This window comes from Homo sapiens, chromosome 13 (assembly GCF_000001405.40).
Source record: "Homo sapiens chromosome 13, GRCh38.p14 Primary Assembly".
NCBI classification, from domain to species: Eukaryota; Metazoa; Chordata; class Mammalia; order Primates; family Hominidae; genus Homo; species Homo sapiens.
This window is the reverse complement of record NC_000013.11, coordinates 94,363,710-94,385,263: the sequence shown is the minus strand read 5'-3', so window position 1 is coordinate 94,385,263 and position 21,554 is coordinate 94,363,710. Positions and strand designations below refer to the sequence as shown.

At 40.4% G+C, this 21,554-nt stretch overlaps 1 protein-coding gene across 4 annotated transcripts in view, besides 1 other annotated feature; it reads right to left on the bottom strand.

Moving 5' to 3' along the window:
- GPC6 (glypican 6) overlaps positions 1-21,554 on the bottom strand; it is a 1,191,492-nt gene that overhangs the window by 22,757 nt on the left and 1,147,181 nt on the right. For all 4 annotated transcript variants that reach the window (XM_047429990.1, NM_005708.5, XM_017020300.2 and 1 more), the window contains one exon: positions 2,714-2,850. In XM_047429990.1, the coding sequence (XP_047285946.1) occupies positions 2,714-2,850 (137 nt within the window). The remainder of the gene's footprint in view (positions 1-2,713; positions 2,851-21,554) is intronic.
- Positions 12,794-13,456: an enhancer, noted in NCBI's record as "OCT4-NANOG-H3K27ac-H3K4me1 hESC enhancer chr13:95024062-95024724 (GRCh37/hg19 assembly coordinates)". NCBI's record gives its function as "activates a minimal SCP1, AML or CMV promoter by ChIP-STARR-seq in naive H9 embryonic stem cells {active_cell/tissue: H9 hESC(naive)}" and the evidence as "EXISTENCE:reporter gene assay evidence [ECO:0000049][PMID:30033119]".

The following is a 21,554-nucleotide window of genomic DNA, read 5'->3' as shown; positions in this document are numbered from 1 at the left end:
CCATTGCCATTTTTTTTTTTTTTTGAGATGGAGTCTCACTCTGTCACCCAGGCTGGAGTGCAGTGGTATGATCTTGGCTCACTGCAACCTCCTTTTCCTGGGTTCAAGCGATTCTCCTGCCTTAGCTTCCTAAGTAGCTGGGACTACAGGCATGTGCCACCACACCCAGCTAATTTTTGTATTTTTAGTAGAGACAGGGTTTCTGTATCTTGGCTAGGATGGTCTCGAACTCCTGACCTCAGGTGATCTGCCTGCCTTGGCCTCCCATTGCCATCTTACAGCACTTAATCTACAGGGCCTTGCACAGAGCCTGGGACACAGGGAGTACTTAATCATACTGCTGATGGACTGGTGGACTGACTCAATGAATGCTGTAGAACCACTGAAGCTTTTATAGCACTTAGGATCTGTCTCATTTGTTCTCCTAACTTGGGGAGGACAGTATTTAGCTGTTGTTTGCTTAAGAGGTAGGGTATTGCCATAAAAAAAATACTGGGCTAGGATTTGGGAGATTCCCAGCTTTCACCCTTGTTCATTGGGTAACAGTGGACTAATTGTTTACCCTGTCTGAGTTCTTAATCTGCACAATGAGGAACTTGTCTGCCATCCTGATCTCCTCCAGCTCTAACTTCAGTGGTCTTTATATTCCCCATTCATATTCTTGGTAGTGTTTAGTCTCTTCCCCTAACTTCGCCCATGGCCTTTTTTTAAAAAAATATTTCCTTTTGTAAGAAATTGCATATGGACTAATATCAGCAACCTGTGTGACAATCTGTGGGAATAGCAGTTCAAAACCCAGGCTTTATGTTAGCCAAGGCTTAAAGGTAAACACAGATGGGAAACAGAGAAGCTCAAAAAACCAAGCATTTTATTCATTAGGCCATCTGGCCATTCTTCACAGTGTCTTTCTGTACAGTCATCGGGAAAATACACACTAGAAGCTGTTAATTCATAGCTGAATTTTCTGGCCAAAGGTCTCCTAGCTAAAAAGCCAGACACTGGTAAAATGCTAAATATTTTTTAGTGGCATGTTGTTAATATCATAACTAATTTCCTTCTCATGATCTATGATTTGATATTGATATTTTGAGCATTTTGAAATGGTTAGAGCTCTTTGTGTAGGTATCTTGCTTTCACCTTGCTAAACTCTTCCTGGTATGGTTAATAATGTCATTAGCAATTGGTATGGTTTGGCTCTGTGTCCCCACCAATTCCCATCTTGAATTGCAATCCCCATAATCCCTATGTGTTGAGAACAGGACCTTGGATCAAGGGGGTGGTTTCCCTCATGCTGTTCTCATGATAGTGAGTGAGTTCTCATGAGATGTGGTGCTTTTATAAGGGCCTCTTCCCCCTTTACTTGTACTTCTCTCTCCTGCCACCTTGTGAGGAAGGCACCTGCTTCGCCTTTGTCTTCTGCCATGATTGTAAGTTTCCTGAGGCCTCCCCAGCTATAGGGAACTGTGGGTCAATCAAGCCTCTTTCCTTTATAAATTACCCAGTCTCAGGGAAGTTCTTTATAGCAGCATGAGAATGGACTAATAAAGCAACAGATGCTAAAAAATGCAACTCAGCAGGGTAAGAAATAACACCTAACGTGCACCTCCCTTGCACCTCCTGCTTAACTTCTGCAGTTTCTTCTCAACTTAATAGCCATGCACTTTATATTAATAGCCAAAGATTTATATTTATTTTTGTAGAGACATGGTTTCACAATGTTGCTCAGGCTGGTTTCAAACTCTTGGGCTCAAGCTATCTTCCCACCTTGGCCCCCCAAAGTGTTGGGATTACAGGCGTGAGCCACCGCTCCTGGCAACCACACACCTTCTTGTTTCCTTTTGATCACAGCTGCTTCATATGCTTGAAACTGCTCAGTCAAGCCCCAGAACAGACTCCCCTCTTAGCATCTCCACCCACTGGTCAATCCTCAAAGATCCCTTGAGTCCAATTTACCAGCTACTTTACCCGCTTGCAACCCCATTGCTGAGGGCTTTGGCAGATTCCTGTCCTCGTGTCCTGCCCTGCCTGCCAACTCCCAACCAGTCCTCCCATCCAGCCTCCCCACCCTATGAAAATCCAGGCCAAGCCCGTTTCTGGGCTGAATCAACAAATTCAGAAATTCCATATCAAGTCCCCACAGCACTGGTCAGCAGAGCAGAATGATGAAAACTGCTGTCTCTTGTCAGGAGGTTCCGATGGGACTTCCCAAAGTGTGTTGCCTATTAGAACCATTTCTCAGTGTCCCTCAGACATTTTCTGTTACGTTGCCAATGAACACTTCAATTTTTTTTCCAACAAGAGTGAAAAAAACAGTTGAATTTTCATTTCCTATTTAACTTTTGATGAAAAAAAGAGCCCTGGAAATTTAACTATGGATAAAAATAACTTCAGTATCTTAAAGCCATTAAGTGAACATGAAAGGGCTCTTTGTGATCTCAGGGTATCTGAAACCTGGCATCTGCCACCATTCCTCTGTCCTCATCCAGAGGCAAGACATTCTGAATGAGGATTCCACGCTTAATGGCACCTTAAGAGTAAGTGCTCCCAGGTGCCCATCAAACCTGTCACTCTCAACAGCTGTTGCTAAGTGATGACTTGTCCCTCCACCCTCTGTTGCTTTTTGCATAAACAGGTTTGTAGAGTTGTGCCAGGAGAGTCTTCCAAGGCTGGGTGTGCTGTGCCCCCATCCATGCACACATCGAGTCACCCTCACCTGGCTTTGCTGTGCCCGTTCCAGCATTCCTCCTCGTTGGACGTGCCCGCTGTCACGCTCTCGTCCTTGCAGATAGTGTAGGGTAATGCTGACCAGACCTTTTTAGAGAGCTTCAATTTCTCTTTTATGTCTGTGACCTGATCAAGAAACCAAGGAAAGCAAGTGAGTATTCTGCTCAGGCTTTCCCCATTTCTACACAAGGACGTACGCAGGCGAGGGTTATAGAACCTGTGATATGACCAGCAGGAACTCTTTAACAGTTTTAAGAGAGAGACACTGCACTGCAGGGTTTATTGCCCGGGAAAGCCTCCTTTCCTCTCCCTCAGTCCTCCTCTAGACGAGAGTTCTCAGGTAATTGGCTTTTTGTTTTCCATCTTTTCTGTCCTTCAATCCTTTGAATTAAAAACTTACGAAGCATCACGCCTGGCTTCGGGTCCCTCTCCTGCTGAGAGTCCCTATTGTGAACACCCCAAGTATAGTCTCTAGAATTCATTTGCTTGCATGTCAGACAACTGTACCAAAACAAATGCACCAAGAGATAAATACTTTTCCCAATGGACTCCTTGTTTCTGCAAAAAATAAATATTGCCACTAATTCAGCTGCTGGTACTTATGCTCTAGTGCAAATGACAGGCCCTTAGAGCACACACATGGGTGGTAAGCAATAAACCAAACCCTCTTAAAAATCTCTAGAACTGAAAGAGAAGTCATTCTAAATACGGGTAAGTGTAAAATTCACAGCCCTGTGGATGGATGGCCAGGAAAAGCTTAGTGCCAGCATCTTAAGTGTCTTCAGGCTGAACACTGACTTTTCACTTGCAGAAAGGGTAGGAAGAGGAATTTAATTTCATTTTGGCTTCATAATGAACATTGGGAAAGTCCAGAGATGGCTGGAATGCATCTGTTATGAATTGAATTCTTTTCCTCCCCTTAACGTGTTAAATTCCTAACCCTTGGTACCTCAGAATGTGACTTTATTTTGAGATAGGGTCATGACAGAGCTAAAGAAGTTAAAGTGAAGTCATGTGGGTGGGCCCTCACTCAATATGATATGTGCTGATAAAAAGGGGAAATTTGAGCACACAGACACACACAGAGGAAAGAAAATATGAAGAGACACAGGAAGAAGATGCCCATTTACAAGCGAAGGAGAGAGGTCTAGAAGGGATCCTTTCCTCCTAGCCCTCAGAAGGACCCAACCCCGCCGACACCTTGATTTCAGACTTCCAGCCCCAGAACTGTGGGATAGTAAATGTCTGTTGTTTTAAGTAACTCAGTTTGTGGTACTTTGTTATGACGGCCTTAGCAAACGAATACAGACGTAAAAAAATGTTGAGTCAACATTTGATGGGGAATGGGATATTTACAGAATCTCAAAGTACCTAGTAACACAGATTATTTATTAATTACAAAAGGAAAACTAGTAATTTTACAGTGTGGAAACTTGGCAGGCTGCCACCTTCATCAAGTGATGAAGCAAGGGGACAAATTGGTCACTTGTTCCTCCTGATGTGATGTCCCAAGATGGACACATCACTTAGGCAGCCCCAAATTTATAATCTGAATCTAATCATGAGGACATATCAGACAAACCGAAACTCAGGGGCATTCTGAAAACCAGCTGGCCTCTACTCATCAAAAATGTCCATCATAAAAGACAAGAAAAAGCTGAAGAGTCCTTCCAGATGAAGAATAAGAGACATGATAGCCAAATGCAGCAGAGGGCTCTGGACTAAATGCTAGGTCAGAAGGATAATTGCCAATAAAAGACATTATTGTGATAGTGGGCAAAATTTGTATGCTGGCTCTCTATTAGATAATAGTATTATGTAGTGTTAAATTTCCTGGACATAAAATCATACTGTGGTAACACAGGAGAATACTGTACTCTTGGGAGACACACGCTAGAGGATTTAAAATGAAAGGGGTATAATTTCCACAACTTGCTCTACAACAGCTCAGTAATAATCAAGAATAACAATAAATATACAGATGTATAAAGAAAAAGAGAAAAGGTAAATGTGGCAACTTTTTAATATCCGGCAAAGCTAGATGAAGAGTATAAAATTTTTCAAAAAATGCAATTTTCAGTTAAGTTTGACTTTTTTTTCAAAGTAAAATGTGAAAATGTGAAAAACAATTTCTCACATTTTATTTGTTCTACGTAGTGTCCACTTTGGTGCCCTAACCTCCATTAAAGGCGTGCCCACAATAGGCCACTCATTCTTACTCTTTTCAAAACAATCCTCAGAGAAAGAAATACATGTTTTATATTTATATCTGGTTCAGAAAATGACCACGACCTTTAGGACTGAAATACTGTCAGGTTTATTCTGTCCCATAATAAAATAAACTAAGAATGAGCATTCTCTTTCTTCTGATTTTGTACTACAATCCTACCTCCACGTTATGGGAATCTAAACCAGATACACAGATTTTGAGACTCAGATAAAGAACAAAGTTGCATGCCGCCCCACAGGTGTCTCCTTTCAGTATGTGCAGAATTTAATGGTGGATGTTGCACTACTCATTCTTTAAATTATTCTCAAACGTTGTCTTCTTCGGGGTGCGTTCTTGGGTCCCCAGCTTAGATTTAGATTCAGCTTTCTGCGCTGCGCTATGCCCTCTTGATGATTCTAACTACTGATCACTCCAAACTCTAATAATTGGCTTATTTTTCTGATTCTCTTTTAGACAACATGCTTTTTGTTGGCAGAAATAGGGTTGTAATTTATCTTTATCCACAGTGTCCAGTATGGGTCAAGTGACTAATAGTCCTATTTGCCACAGCTTAGGGGATTCCAGGGTGACGAGTTTTCAGCACTAAAATGGGAACGTCCCAGGTAAACCAGGATTAGTTGGTCACACAGGTCTAAGCACACAGTACATGCTCAATAAATGTTGGTTAAGATAATGGATTGAATTGTCCCATTCTATTACAAGGTCATAGACTGTATGGTTAACACAAATTAGCTGGGGTCACAATACTGTGTGTTCATCGTCCCAAGAGGGGTGGGAGAAAACTGTGGGGTTGTATTTGGCTAAGTGAGGAGCCCGTCGCGATGATGGGGATGTGGGTTTTCTCTCATTGTTTACCCCAGCACATTTATAATCAGAGTGTGTTCCCTCTGGCATTTCAGTAGCTGTGCGTTTTCATTGTGCAGTTGAAGGAGATAACATCAAAGGAGCAGTGAGAAATGTAGATGCCGTTTTAACATTCTGCACGGAAACACTGGCCAATTCACCTGCAGACGGTGATGGTGAGGCAGACGGCTGAAAAAATGGACACTATTAGCCACTGGAAAAGAACATGCCTTTGATTCATTTATATCTGAATGATGGCAGTTTATTTTTCAATATCAGGAAGGCCTTTCAACTTGCACATCATTTAGAAATGTTTTTCTCATTTTATTTATTTATATTTCTGAATAATATATGTAACTGCTCTGCTGTAGCTCCGGACCTGAGGTTTTTGTTTTTTTGTTTTTTTGGTTTTTTTTCCTGGAAACTTAAGTGCACACAACTGTGAATTAAGCTTTATGTTAACAAACACTCTTAGTACAAATATATTACTGACAATGACAGTGAGCCCTAATTCATTAATAACACACCAGATGGGAACAAGGACTTGGGATAAAATACAAAATTTAGAACAATTTCCTTTCTCTGATTCCTGGATGAGCTATTCTAGGACAAATGAACTCTTACCAATACTTGTGAACAGTATTTACGATCGCTCCAATATTGTATTAGTAATGCTGTAATATTAGTAATCCCAGTAATATTTAAGTATTACTTTTTTCATCTATGCTATTGATAGATTCTGGAAGTTAAACAACAACTACTGTTATGTCTCTGGAAACTGATCCAAACATATACTGTTGGGGTCCATAGGAAAAACATGAGCCCTCTTTTAGGATTTATCTGGAGCTGATTCTGATTTCTGATAATTGCAACTTCTGATGTCAGTAGAGACAAACACTCTTAGTTTAAGACCTGTCAAAAGGACCATGAACACTTGACTCTATTAGGAAGAGAGGGCATCCTTCTCATACCTACCATTACAGTACTGTAAAATTAGACAAAAGAGGGAGGAAGGTGACAAGGTGGAATGATTGCTAAAAACAGAATAGCAAAGCCAATGACCAGAAAGAACTATCTAAGTACTCTTCTGTGACAAATTCACCTAAGAATTAATCTTGCTCCAAATATTTCACCTGAATCCCATCAAGTTTCTGACTTAAAAAAATCAGTTTACAGGAAATACTGGCAATAGAGGAAAAAACTAAGTAACACCATAAATAATCAGACACATCCAGTGATGAGATATTATTATTATTATTATTATTTTATTATTATACTTTAAGTTTTAGGGTACATGTGCACATTGTGCAGGTTAGTTACATATGTATACATGTGCCATGCTGGTGCACTGCACCCACTAACTCGTCATCTAGCATTAGGTATATCTCCCAATGCTATCCCTCACGTCTCCCCCCACCCCACAACAGTCCCCAGAGTGTGATGTTCCCCTTCCTTTGTCCATGTGTTCTCATTGTTCAATTCCCACTTATGAGTGAGAATATGCGGTGTTTGGTTTTTTGTTCTTGTGATAGTTTACTGAGAATGATGATTTCCAGTTTCATCCATGTCCCTACAAAGGACATGAACTCATCATTTTTTATGGCTGCATAGTATTCCATGGTGTATATGTGCCACAATTTCTTAATCCAGTCTATCATTGTTGGACATTTGGGTTGGTTCCAAGTCTTTGCTATTGTGAATAATGCCACAGTAAACATACGTGTGCATGTGTCTTTATAGCAGCATGATTTATAGTCCTTTGGGTATATACCCAGTAATGGGATGGCTGGGTCAAATGGTATTACCAGTTCTAGATCCCTGAGGAATCGCCACACTGACTTCCACAATGGTTGAACTAGTTTACAGTCCCACCAACAGTGTAAAAGTGTTCCTATTTCTCCACATCCTCTCCAGCACCTGTTGTTTCCTGACTTTTTAATGATTGCCATTCTAACTGCTGTGAGATGGTATCTCATTGTGGTTTTGATTTGCATTTCTCTGATGGCCAGTGATGATGAGCATTTTTTCATGTGTTTTTTGGCTGCATAAATGTCTTCTTTTGAGAAGTGTCTGTTCATGTCCTTTGCCCACTTTTTGATGGGGTTGTTTGTTTTTTTCTTGTAAATTTGTTTGAGTTCATTGTAGATTCTGGATATTAGCCCTTTGTCAGATGAGTAGGTTGCAAAAATTTTCTCCCATTTTGTAGGTTGCCTGTTCACTCTGATGGTAGTTTCTTTTGCTGTGCAGAAGCTCTTTAATTAGATCCCATTTGTCAATTGTGTCTTTTGTTGCCATTGCTTTTGGTGTTTTAGACATGAAGTCCTTGCCCATGCCTATGTCCTGAATGGTAATGCCTAGGTTTTCTTCTAGGGTTTTTATGGTTTTAGGTCTAATGTTTAAGTCTTTAATCCATCTTGAATTGATTTTTGTATAATGTGTAAGGAAGGGATCCAGTTTCAGCTTTCTACATATGGCTAGCCAGTTTTCCCAGCACCATTTATTAAATAGGGAATCCTTTCCCCATTGCTTGTTTTTCTCAGGTTTGTCAAAGATCAGATAGTTGTAGATATGCTGCGTTATTTCTGAGGGCTCTGTTCTGTTCCATTGATCTATATCTCTGTTTTGGTACCAGTACCATGCTGTTTTGGTTACTGTAGCCTTGTAGTATAGTTTGAAGTCAGGTAGTGTGATGTCTCCAGCTTTGTTCTTTTGGCTTAGGATTGTCTTGGCGATGCGGGCTCTTTTTTGGTTCCATATGAACTTTAAAGTAGTTTTTTCCAATTCTGTGAAGGAAGTCATTGGTAGCTTGATGGGGATGGCATTGAATCTGTAAATTACCTTGGGCAGTATGGCCATTTTCACGATATTGATTCTTCCTACCCATGAGCATGGAATGTTCTTCCATTTGTTTGTATCCTCTTTTATTTCCTTGAGCAGTGGTTTGTAGTTCTCCTTGAAGAGGTCCTTCATATCCCTTGTAAGTTGGATTCCTAGGTATTTAATTCTCTTTGAAGCAATTGTGAATGGGAGTTCACTCATGATTTGGCTCTCTGTTTGTCTGTTGTTGGTGTATAAGAATGCTTGTGATTTTTCTACATTGATTTTGTATCCTGAGACTTTGCTGAAGTTGCTTATCAGCTTAAGGAGATTTTGGGCTGAGACAATGGGGTTTTCCAGATATATAATCATGTCGTCTGCAAACAGGGACAATTTGACTTCCTCTTTTCCTAATTGAATACCCTTTATTTCCTTCTCCTGCCTAATTGCCCTGGCCAGAACTTCCAACACTATGTTGAATAGGAGTGGTGAGAGAGGGCATCCCTGTCTTGTGCCAGTTTTCAAAGGGAATGCTTCCAGTTTTTGCCCATTCAGTATGATATTGGCTGTGGGTTTGTCATAGATAGCTCTTATTATTTTGAAATACGTCCCATCAATACCTAATTTATTGAGAGTTTTTAGCATGAAGGGTTGTTGAATTTTGTCAAAGGCTTTTTCTGCATCTATTGAGATAATCATGTGGTTTTTGTCTTTGGCTCTGTTTATATGCTGGATTACATTTATTGATTTGCGTATATTGAACCAGCCTTGCATCCCAGGGATGAAGCCCACTTGATCATGGTGGATAAGCTTTTTGATGTGCTGCTGGATTCATTTTGCCAGTATTTTATTGAGGATTTTTGCATCAATGTTCATCAAGGATATTGGTCTAAAATTCTCTTTTTTTGTTGTGTCTCTGCCTGGCTTTGGTATCAGAATGATGCTGGCCTCATAAAATGAGTTAGGGAGGATTCCCTCTTTTTCTATTGATTGGAATAGTTTCAGAAGGAATGGTACCAGTTCCTCCTTGTACCTCTGGTAGAATTCGGCTGTGAATCCATCTGGTTCTGGACTCTTTTTGGTTGGTAAGCTATTGATTATTGCCACAATTTCAGATCCTGTTATTGGTCTATTCAGAGATTCAATTTCTTCCTGGTTTAGTCTTGGGAGAGTGTATGTGTCAAGGAATTTATCCATTTCTTCTAGATTTTCTAGTTTATTTGCATAGAGGTGTTTGTAGTATTCTCTGATGGTAGTTTGTATTTCTGTGGGATCGGTGGTGATATCCCCCTTATTTTTTTATTGTGTCTACTTGATTCTTCTCTCTTTTTTTCTTTATTAGTCTTGCTAGAAGTCTATCAATTTTGTTGATCCTTTCAAAAAACCAGCTCCTGGATTCATTAATTTTTTGTGTCTCTATTTCCTTCAGTTCTGCTCTGATTTTAGTTATTTCTTGCCTTCTGCTAGCTTTTGAATGTGTTTGCTCTTGCTTTTCTAGTTCTTTTAATTGTGATGTTAGGGTGTCAATTTTGGATCTTTCCTGCTGTCTCTTGTGGGCATTTAGTGCTATAAATTTCCTTCTACACACTGCTTTGAATGCGTCCCAGAGATTCTGGTATGTTGTGTCTTTGTTCTCGTTGGTTTCAAAGAACATCTTTATTTCTGCCTTCATTTCGTTATGTACCCAGTAGTCATTCAGGAGCAGGTTGTTCAGTTTCCATGTAGTTGAGCAGTTTTGAGTGAGATTCTTAATCCTGAGTTCTAGTTTGATTGCACTGTGGTCTGAGAGATAGTTTGTTATAATTTCTGTTCTTTTACATTTGCTGAGGAGAGCTTTACTTCCAAGTATGTGGTCAATTTTGGAATAGGTGTGGTGTGGTGCTGAAAAAAATGTATATTCTGTTGATTTGGGGTGGAGAGTTCTGTAGATGTCTATTAGGTCCGCTTGGTGCAGAGCTGAGTTCAATTCCTGGGTTTCCTTGTTGACTTTCTGTCTCGTTGAACTGTCTAATGTTGACAGTGGGGTGTTAAAGTCTCCCATTATTAATGTGTGGGAGTCTAAGTCTCTTTGTAGGTCACTCAGGACTTGCTTTATGAATCTTGGTGCTCCTGTATTGGGTGCATATATATTTAGGACAGTTAGCTCTTCTTGTTGAATTGATCCCTTTACCATTATGTAATGGCCTTGTCTCTTTTGATCTTTGTTGGTTTAAAGTCTGTTTTATCAGAGACTAGGATTGCAACCCCTGCCTTTTTTTGTTTTCCATTTGCTTGGTAGATCTTCCTCCATCCTTTTATTTTGAGCCTATGTGGGTCTCTGCACGTGAGATGGGTTTCCTGAATACAGCACACTGATGGGTCTTGACTCTTCATCCAATTTGCCAGTCTGTGTCTTTTAATTGGAGCATTTAGTCCATTTACATTTAAAGTTAATATTGTTATGTGTGAATTTGATCCTGTCATTATGATGTTAGCTGGTGATTTTGCTCGTTAGTTGATGCAGTTTCTTCCTAGTCTCGATGGTCTTTACACTTTGGCATGATTTTGCAGTGGCTGGTATCGGTTGTTCCTTTCCATGTTTAGCGCTTCCTTCAGGAGCTCTTTTAGGGCAGGACTGGTGGTGACAAAATCTCTCAGCATTTGCTTGTCTGTAAAGTATTTTATTTCTCCTTCACTTATGAAGCTTAGTTTGGCTGGATATGAAATTCTGGGTTGAAAATTCTTTTGTTTAAGAATGTTGAATATTGGCCCCCACTCTCTTCTGGCTTGTAGGGTTTCTGCCGAGAGATCCGCTGTTAGTCTGATGGGCTTCCCTTTGAGGGTAACCCGACCTTTCTCTCTGGCTGCCCTTAACATTTTTTCCTTCATTTCAAATTTGGTGAATCTGACAATTATGTGTCTTGAAGTTCCTCTTCTCGAGGAGTATCTTTGTGGCGTTCTCTGTATTTCCTGAATGTGAATGTTGGCCTGCCTTGCTAGATTGGGGAAGTTCTCCTGGATAATATCCTGCAGAGTGTTTTCCAACTTGGTTCCATTCTCCCCATCACTTTCAGGTACGCCAATCAGACGTAGATTTGGTCTTTTCACATAGTCCCATATTTCTTGGAGGCTTTGATCATTTCTTTTTATTCTTTTTTCTCTAAACTTCCGTTCTCGCTTCATTTAATTCATTTCATCTTCCATTGCTGATACGCTTTCTTCCAATTGATCTCATCGGCTCCTGAGGCTTCTGCATTTTTCACGTAGTTCTCGAGCCTTGGTTTTCAGCTCCATCAGCTCCTTTAAGCACTTCTCTGTATTGGTTATTCTAGTTATACATTCTTCTAAATTTTTTTCAAAGTTTTCAACTTCTTTGCCTTTGGTTTGAATGTCCTCCCGTAGCTCAGAGTAATTTGATCGTCTGAAGCCTTCTTCTCTCAGCTCGTCAAAGTCATTCTCCATCCAGCTTTGTTCCATTGCTGGTGAGGAACTGCGTTCCTTTGGAGGAGGAGAGGCGCTCTGCTTTTTAGAGTTTCCAGTTTTTCTGTTCTGTTTTTTCTCCATTTTTGTGGTTTTATCTACTTTTGGTCTTTGATGATGGTGATGTACAGATGGGGTTTTGGTGTGGATGTCCTTTCTGTTTTTTAGTTTTCCTTCTAACAGATAGGACCCTCAGCTGCAGGTCTGTTGGAATACCCTGCCGTGTGAGGTGTCAGTGTGCTCCTGCTGGGGGGTGCCTCCCAGTTAGGCTGCTTGGGGGTCAGGGGTCAGGGACCCACTTGAGGAGGCAGTCTGCCCATTCTCAGATCTCCAGCTGCCTGCTGGGAGAACCACTGCTCTCTTCAAAGCTGTCAGACAGGGACATTTAAGTCTGCAGAGGTTACTGCTGTCTTTTTGTTTGTTTGTGCCCTGCCCCCAGAGGTGGAGCCTACAGAGGCAGGCAGGCCTCCTTGAGCTGTGGTGGGCTCCACCCAGTTCGAGCTTCCAGGCTGCTTTGTTTACCTAATCAAGCCTGGGCAATGGCGGGCGCCCCTCCCCCAGCCTCGCTGCCGCCTTGCAGTTTGATCTCAGACTGCTGTGCTAGCAATCAGCGAGACTCCGTGGGCGTAGGACCCTCCGAGCCAGGTGCGGGATATACTCTCGTGGTGCGCCGTTTTTTAAGCCCGTCGGAAAAGTGCAGTATTCGGGTGGGAGTGACCCGATTTTCCAGGTGCCGTCAGTCACCCCTTTCTTTGACTCGGAAAGGGAACTCCCTGACCCCTTGCGCTTCCCAAGTGAGGCAATGCCTCGCCCTGCTTCGGCTCGCGCACGGTGCGCGCACCCACTGACCTGCGCCCACTGTCTGGCACTCCCTAGTGAGATGAACCTGGTACCTCAGTTGGAAATGCAGAAATCACCCGTCTTCTGCGTCACTCACGCTGGGAGCTGTAGACTGGAGCTGTTCCTATTCGGCCATCTTGGCTCCTCCCCCCAGTGATGAGATATTATATGAGACAACTGGCCTTAATGCTTCAAAAGAGGGCAAGTGAAAGAAGAAAGCAAGAAAGTAAGCAAGCAAGAAAGAAACAAAGAGAAGGAAAAAAGAGAAAGGAAGGAAGGAGGGAGGGAAGGAAAGAAGGAAGAGAAAGGAAGGAAGGAAGAGAAACTGACTCCTGGATTTGGAGGTAGGGACCCAGCTGTAAGTAAGAACTTTGATAATTTTGAATGTTGAATAAATAGTAGTTGATATTATTGAATAAGTGCTAATTTTCTTAAGTGTGATCATGATGTTGTGGCTGTATAGGAGACTGTCCTTGCTTTTAGGAGATTCACGCTGAGATACTTAGGGATAATGTGTCACTGCATCTTTTACTTACTTGAAAATAGCAAAATAGTCAACCATTATTGAATCTGTATGGGGGTTATATGGATGTTCATTTTACTATTTTTTTCCCCACCATTTCAGTATTGAAAAAGTTAAAAATAATGAAAAGTTGGGAAAGAGACAAGACTTTGTTGTCAGGGCACATGGCAACTGCTGGGTTCAGCAGAGGGCAGTAATTGACTCAAAGAAATGGGGATTAACTGTGAGCTTTCACTGAGCTGAGGCCCTCACGTGCATTCGATCTTCACAACTCTGACGGTGCTAAAATATTATCATTACACCCTTATACAAAAAGGAAACAGGCCTTAGAAAGGCTAAAAAACTTGCCACACATCTAGTAAATGGTGGAGATGAGATTCAAATTCAAATGCAGATGCTGGAATCATTACTCTTAACCACTAGGCTTACTATGGCCATAGTTGATAACTATGGTTTTTGAAGTGTGTGTGTTGGGTTGGTGACAGGAGTGTGTGTGCATCTCTGGGGGTGTGCAAGAGATTCAATGTGATTCAGGATTAGAATTCCTATTTCTATCTTTATAAAAATACAAGAGGAATTAAGCTTTCCTAATATTTAATCTAGAGATTGATATTTCAATCAGTCCGTACAGGGATCGCCATTTCTCAATTATCTTAGGGACAGAGTAAGACTTTCATAGTGGGGAGGGGCAGCATTGGCACCTCCACCACCATTAACTTGCTGCTGGTGTATTGATCCAGCATATGTACTGGCTAAGGCATTTATGGATTAGATTAATTAGTTTTAACTAACTCATTCAATGGAATAGGACTTAAATAGCTTTTGAAAAGAAACTTTGGATTTCTTTCATTTCAAACAAAGCAAGCACAAGTAAACAATATAATGGCAGGCATCATATTCCTCTTATTCTTGATACATCTGGAACATTACAAAATAGAAATAAAAAAGAATATCTTTTTCTCATCTTTCAAAAGTTTCTGTTTTTATGTAAATTTCATGAGGTACTGAATGTGTTAATTCAGTAGTGCTTATGTTACAATTTATGTATAAATATTTATAGGTACTCTGGTTGTTTATCATTCGGAATATTTTGCTGATAGAGGTGCAAGACCAAAAATGTTTGCAGATCGCCAGTCTATAGCACAGGGACTCATACCATATATTTTAAATCAGTGACTTAGCAAGTAAAAATTCAATAACATTCAACGAAATCGATTTAATGAGACAAGAAAATGTAGTACAGTTCAGAAAAAGTTCCAAAACATTGGTTAAATAAGAAAAAAGGCTTTTGTGGCTAGTATTCCTTCATTAAACACTTCTAACGTGCCTTTTATAAGACAGGTTTTATAGTAGACTCTGGGAATGCAAAATATGACTTGTACACAGTCTCTATCCTTGAAGGGTTTGTAGCACTGCCTAGTAGGGGTAACAGACAAGGAACAAACATTATAGTCCTAGCTAAGCAAAGGGCTATGGGAGCACATATTAATTTGTCTGGAAATTCCCTCCCTGGGAACACCACCATATTCCTTCTCAAGCAAATAAGGCTTCGCTGCTATTTGTTCTTTTGTGGTTGCTGAACTCTTGTCATGGGAAAGATTAGGAAGCAGAATAATTAATAAGTTTCACCCAGGGATCAAAAACAAAAATAATGCATTACAGCCTCCCAAGTTTTAGCCTCCAAGAACAGGATGATTTTGTCCATGTAGAAGCCATGGCTTTTAGCCACCACTCTAATCTTCAGCTACTCATTTGCTAAAGAACAGCTGTACTTCTTGGCTCCCAGGGAATAACTGCTCCACAGCCAGAGACTCAGTAAACAGAGCTTTGTGTGTACCAGTGCTTCATAAATATTTGTCAAATGAATAAATACACGAACAGCATTGCTGATGATCTGCTAAGGGAAGTAAGATTTCAAAAATGATTGATTACCTGCCAGCGACTTCTTTCCAAATGTAACTTTAGAGAGTAAAGGAGGCATGGACAAATTCATTCAGGCTTTTAGGGAAAAAAAACCCCAAAAAACAAAAAAACACCAAAACTCATTTTCCTTGACCCGATTACCCCCAGAGCAAGAGAGAGAGAGAGATCTCAGATGATCCCCCCAATCTTCTAATTAGGATTCCAGACTACTATTGTCTTAAATGTCATTCCAGTTGTAATTTACACAGGTAAGATGGACACCTGGGGGACCTCAAAAACCTTGGCTTAAGGAAAAAGCATGAGAAATTAATTAAAAATGGAATAAATCCCATCTTAAAGGGTCTTTGCAATCCTCATAAACACATTCCAACACCTTCCCTTTGGTTTTCTAAGGAGGTGACCTGTTGAATTCTGAGTTGTGTTTGTGAACTCCATTATTGCTTTTGTATCCCATGTGAATTCTCTGATGAGACATATTTGACTTTCTCCTTCAGCCCATGGCTGTCTACCTACCCACAGGAGGCCCCAAGTCCATCTACCCTGGACCCTTTATTTCCTCTGGATCTTTCCTGAGTAGTCACTGTGAGAAGGCCACCTGCCATTTTCCCTCAATCATCTCTGGACGCAAATCCACCTCACTGGCTACCTGTTGTGTGCATCTGGCCCAATACCCTATTTGTTCCTGACTTCAGAAAGATTCCAATGTGTCCATTTCATCACTATGAAAATATAATGTGACCAGATGTAAATAATATATACCATATCTTTAGAAAAATATGATGAATATTTAAAGGGCTACACTCTAAATAATAAATATTGAAGGAAAAAAACCAATGTGAATATTTTATAGGCTGGAGGTCATTTGTAAGCTTTGGAAAACAATCTGTTTAAAGACATGAAGGCAGGCTGGTTTTTGCTCAGGGACAAGGCCGTTTTACTTGGTCAAGTTAAGGGAAAGTCACCATACACAAAACAATTTTTGCAACCTAAGAATTTAATATAATCCAGTTTTGGAGACAGTGACCTCATCCAGCTTTACTCTAGAGAAGAATGGTCTTTTCTGACAGCACCAAATCATTTGATTCACTGTGTGAGCCTGCATCAGAATTCAAGTCATGCATACTCCTTCAGCAACCAAACAAGGTCTGTGAATGTACCTGTTCACAGCTTCTCTCACTCCCTCGGGAAACACATGCACTCTGGAGGAGAGTATTTAAAGTTCCTAAGTCTCAGGTAGAATATTTTTTTTTTCTGACATGGCCAAATATCTATAAACACAATCTCCCTCCCTCGTATTCTTAGAGGATGTAATCCATATCTTCTGATAATGGCTTTTAGCACTGTCTTCACTAGAATATCAGTTTTCCCTTTATTCTGTGTTTATGAAACTCTTTGGTGTCATTTTTCATGTCTCAGATTGGCCCCTCTGTAATGTAATGTTTGGGTAGGTTTTGTAATGCTTGGTGGAGAAATTGCTTGTACTAATAACATGTTTTCTTTCAGGAAACTTCTAAATAAGTCTTGGGGATGATAGCAGGGTTCTGTTGAATGCAGTTTGTCAGTGAATCTAAAGCCGACTTTGACCATATGTTACACCCAGCATTTTACAGAGCCCTCAAGACACTATTCAACCTAAAACCACTCCAACATTTTGGGCTCTATCATATGTTCCCAGGGAGTTCAATGATAATTTCTAGTCTGTTTCCACATGACATATATTTTCGCGGTGGTGTGGTACTTTTTTTTTTTTTTTTTTTGAGACAGAGTCTTGCTCTGTCACCAGGCTGGAGTGCAGTGGTGCGATCTCGGCTCACTGCAACCCCCGCCTCCTGGGTTCAAGCGATTCTCCTGCTTCAGCTTCCCGAGTAGCTGGGACTACAGACGTGTGTCACCATGCCCAGCTAATTTTTGTATTTTTAGTAGAGATGGGGTTTCACCATGTTGGCCAGGATGGTCTTGATCTTTTGACCTCATGATCCGCCCGCCTCAGCCTCCCAAAGTGCTGGGATTACAGGTGTGAGCCATGGTGCCCGGCCGGTACTTTTAACATTACTCCCAAGTTGACAAACACATGTTTTGTAGGAAAGACTAAGAAGGATATAAATAAAAATTTTAAAAAAGTAGGAAGTGAATCTTTGAAGGTTTGAAAACACAATGCTTAGTTTTGTTGAGTTTCGTAGGGAATTGAGAATGTGTTGAAAAGTTCAGTCTGAATAATCCTGTCTGGTTTTAGGCTTGGAGTTTCTTGGATAGCTGATCACACCATATTAAGGGCATGCATGCCCCTGAAAAGATAGATGGGGTCCTTTTCAGGCAAAATCCTGGTCCTCAAATTGGGATAAATGTGGGAGACATCAGAAATATCTTCCTACTGCTGTTCAGGTTAGATTTTTGCAGCAGATTTTAAGAAAACAACAACAAACTTTCAAATCTTCATGTTTGTACCTGATGTTCTGATTGTGCCTCATTCCCTATGGCATTAAGTGCAGTAGGCATCCTATACGTCCTTGAGAGATGACACAGTCTGACATTGAACTAATATCTATTGAATTCAATAGTGAAAAGAAAAACACAAGAAGTCATTTGTTCTTTGGGAATCCAGACCAAGTCAAAGTATTGCTTTGCAGCAAGGTACCTCAAATGTGGCACTATTTACTTTTCAAGACTGAGAAATAGCAATGATTTAAAGGAGTAGTTTTATTGCTGAATTATGGAATTTAAAGGCTTAGCAGAGCTCTCACAGTCAGTCCAACGCTTCTAGAGCATTCTTGACAGGCTCATTTAGACTCTATTTAAATGTTTCTAATGACAGATATCAATGAAGGAGGACTTGGGATTTGTTGCTTTGACCTAAGCCAAGTCATCTCCCCTCGCTAGGCAGTTCTGGGTCTTTATGAACAGGGCTTGAGCACATAGCAGAAACACATTCTTATTCTTCCTCCTCTCTTGGCATTGAGACTGAGCCCTCAACTTTTCTCTCTTGCCTGGCTTTGTTCCTTTGCAAGCTCTACCTGGTTTCAAATTGTGAGTGGATTCTGTTTTTCTCTGCCTAGCCCCTGGTAAATGCTCCTTTTGATTCGCTGCTGACCAAAGGTCTGTCCCATCTGCTCTCTCGCTCTCTGCTTTGGAGAACAGCTCTATTCTCCTTGGTGGCTAACTTCGGCCTCTATCTTTTCTCAGGCATTATTTTTGCTGTATAGAGGCAGAAATCCCCAAGGAACTTGCCATGATTTAGAGCATGGATTGTGACAAGTGCTGATTCTAAATTAGGTCATTAGATATGCGGTCTTCATAATGCTGGATTGGAAGATCTCAAGTGCGCTTTCAAAAGAAGAGAATGAATTCAGTATTTCTAGCAGTTATATAAGGCACCTTGAAGCATTTTGGATATTTTATTTTAAACCTGACCTCTGCTCCTACCATCATCTATTCTATCATCATTATGGAATGAAACCTTTTGGAAGTTCTTTGTGGTTTGAAAGGCAAATTTCCCCCATATTTCCTCAATTTCCTGATATAGCTAACAAGATGATGCTAGTGGCATAGGATTGACCCCTTTGTATAGGACTAACCTGGAAATTAGCCCTGATTTGGAAAACTGCCAGAGACCACTCCAATATTTAATAGCTCAATTTTGCCAATGTGAGAAAAAGTTTAATGTTTGAACATTTAGTTTTGCTGAAAAATTCAGATTCTTTGCCAACTCTTACTTCAAATGTACAACCCCTTCACAGGGCCTTTGATGATACTTAGGAAACTCATAGAGAATTTCCATCTCTATTTCTACCTGTGATTGGCATACCACAGTGATTCAGTTAAGCTCATAGCTACCTGAAGTTACTCTGAAAATATTGAAATTTCATCTTCAGGGAATGAAATCCAGGACAAGTAAGTCTGCTAATTAAAAAAGGGGGAGGAGGCATTGCAAAGCATTTCACTTCAAGTTTAGGCATTCCTGAATATTTTAGAATTCGTTATTTAATTCCAACAGTTTGGTGGCTTTATTCTTCCACACCGAAGCTGAGAAATAGATGTGTATTCTGGTCTGTTTCTCTGAAGCCTACAGACATTTGGAACTTACCAGGAAACAAGAAACACCTTTTGCTCACCCAAGAGTGGTGTCACTGAGCATGATATCTTACTTATCTTACGTAAGATATTGCAAACATGATTCCATCCAACAGTGAGAGTACCCACAAGGATGTACACACATTGGAAAAGTAATTTAGATGCAGCATAGGAAAATATTCAGCAACTAGTAGGTGGAAATCAGATTTATCTAAATTCTAAAGCCATTTAGGGTAGAGACGGATTGCCATAAATCTTTTATGGAATAGGCAGCCAAAAGCATATAAATGTCTTTTGGGCATATATGATTTGATTTGTACTTAACTATGTAGACTTGCATTGTGTGGTGCATAATAAATGCTACTTTTACATTTCTTGTGTTATATTTATGCTATAATGCAATGATCTGCCTTTTTTCTTCCTGGGTTTAACTGGGAACTGGTTCGAGTTCAAATACCAAAGATTTTAGCCTAAGGGAATTCTAGGAACAATAGGATGAGATACTAATAAATATGTCTAAGAATGTAAACCACAGCACCCAAGGCTGTCTATGAACTCTTACTCAAATGTAAAGTCTACACATTGGAGAGAAGAGTATGATTTAGCTGAAAGTCTTTCTATGGGTTTCAACTAGGACCTCCCCAGAATATGTGCTCACAGAGATCCGTTTGGTTTTACCTACCATAAAGATTTGCCTATTCATCATGGTTGTGGGCCTCCCTCCCAGCTGCAGGTGACATAGGGGCAGGGCCTCTGTCCTTTGTGCTCACCACCTCCTAGCAGATGTGTGTCCCATCTCCTAGCACAATGCCTGGTTTTTGGTTGTATTCAATAATAGCGAATGAATAAATGAACAATCGGCAGAGTAGGCAGAAGGGCAAGTTCAAATTCTGGGTCTTCAAATGAAATTGTAAATGACATGTAAATTCGACATGCCCTTATTTGCAAAATAAGTTTACTGCCATAGGGAGGGGCATCTTCCTTGTAAGCTTCCCTATATTATAGATAATTGGTTGCTTAGGGTCTGTTTATGGATAGTCACTCCAACTAAACACCCCCACCCCCACACACAGCTGCACACAGGCAGGCACACACACTTGATTCGTATCTACAATGTACTGGGCCTTTTTAAGGTCCTGGGCATACAGTGATTTAAGGGACGTGGTCCTGCCTTCAATTAACCACCCAGTGGAGGAAAGATGATATATACACATAAACGAGCATTAAAAATGGCTCACACATTTAAGGGTTGTAGGGTGTGAGAAGTAAAATCAATATTTTACAATAAGGGAGAAAGAAAGTTCATACATTGCTAGGGCACTTGGAACTGGAAGTACTTAATGAGTACAAATGTCACCATGGGGACATATGGCATTGGGGGACTAAACTGTATTCTTTCTTGCAAATCAAGTTCTTACCCCGGTGAGGTAAATTACCTGTTCCTGAGAGCCATCTGGTTACCTTAAAGATCCAATTTACCCCATGGGGCACCAACCAGGGAGTACGATTTACTCTGCTTATGATTAGACCCAGGTGACATAATTTTGCTTGACTTTCACCTTTGCATCATAAGCATCCAATAACCTAAATGGGTCCTCTTAGTCTCCTACAAGCTGCAGAAGTGTCATAGGCAGCCCACTTTAGCTCCAGTGAGAGAGAAAACAACTTGTAAAATAGCAAAATGGCCATCCTGTTCGAAGAAGCAATGAGAGCCTGAAGGCAGCAATATCCAGTAGAAACATCATGTAAGCCACAAAGGAGCTACAGGTGTAATTTTAAATTTTCTAGTTGCCACATTTTAAAAAAAGTAAGTTGAAGCTAACTTCAATGTTATGTTTTGTTTAACACAACTTATTCAAAACATTGTTTCAATACATAGTGAACACGAAACATTTAAATGAGATATTGTATATTCTTTATTATTTTCTGGTACTAAGTCTTTAAAGCCTAGTTTGTATTTTATACTTACAGTCCATCTCAGTTCATTCCACCGGACATCTCCATTGCTCAATAGTCACACATTGTTAATGGCTGCCATGTTAGATGGCACAGGTTTCAAAATCTGTTGTGGGTTTTTCGCTTAGAGCTCATCTCAGTTCTGTCTACAGCACATCCCTAGTGGTCAAT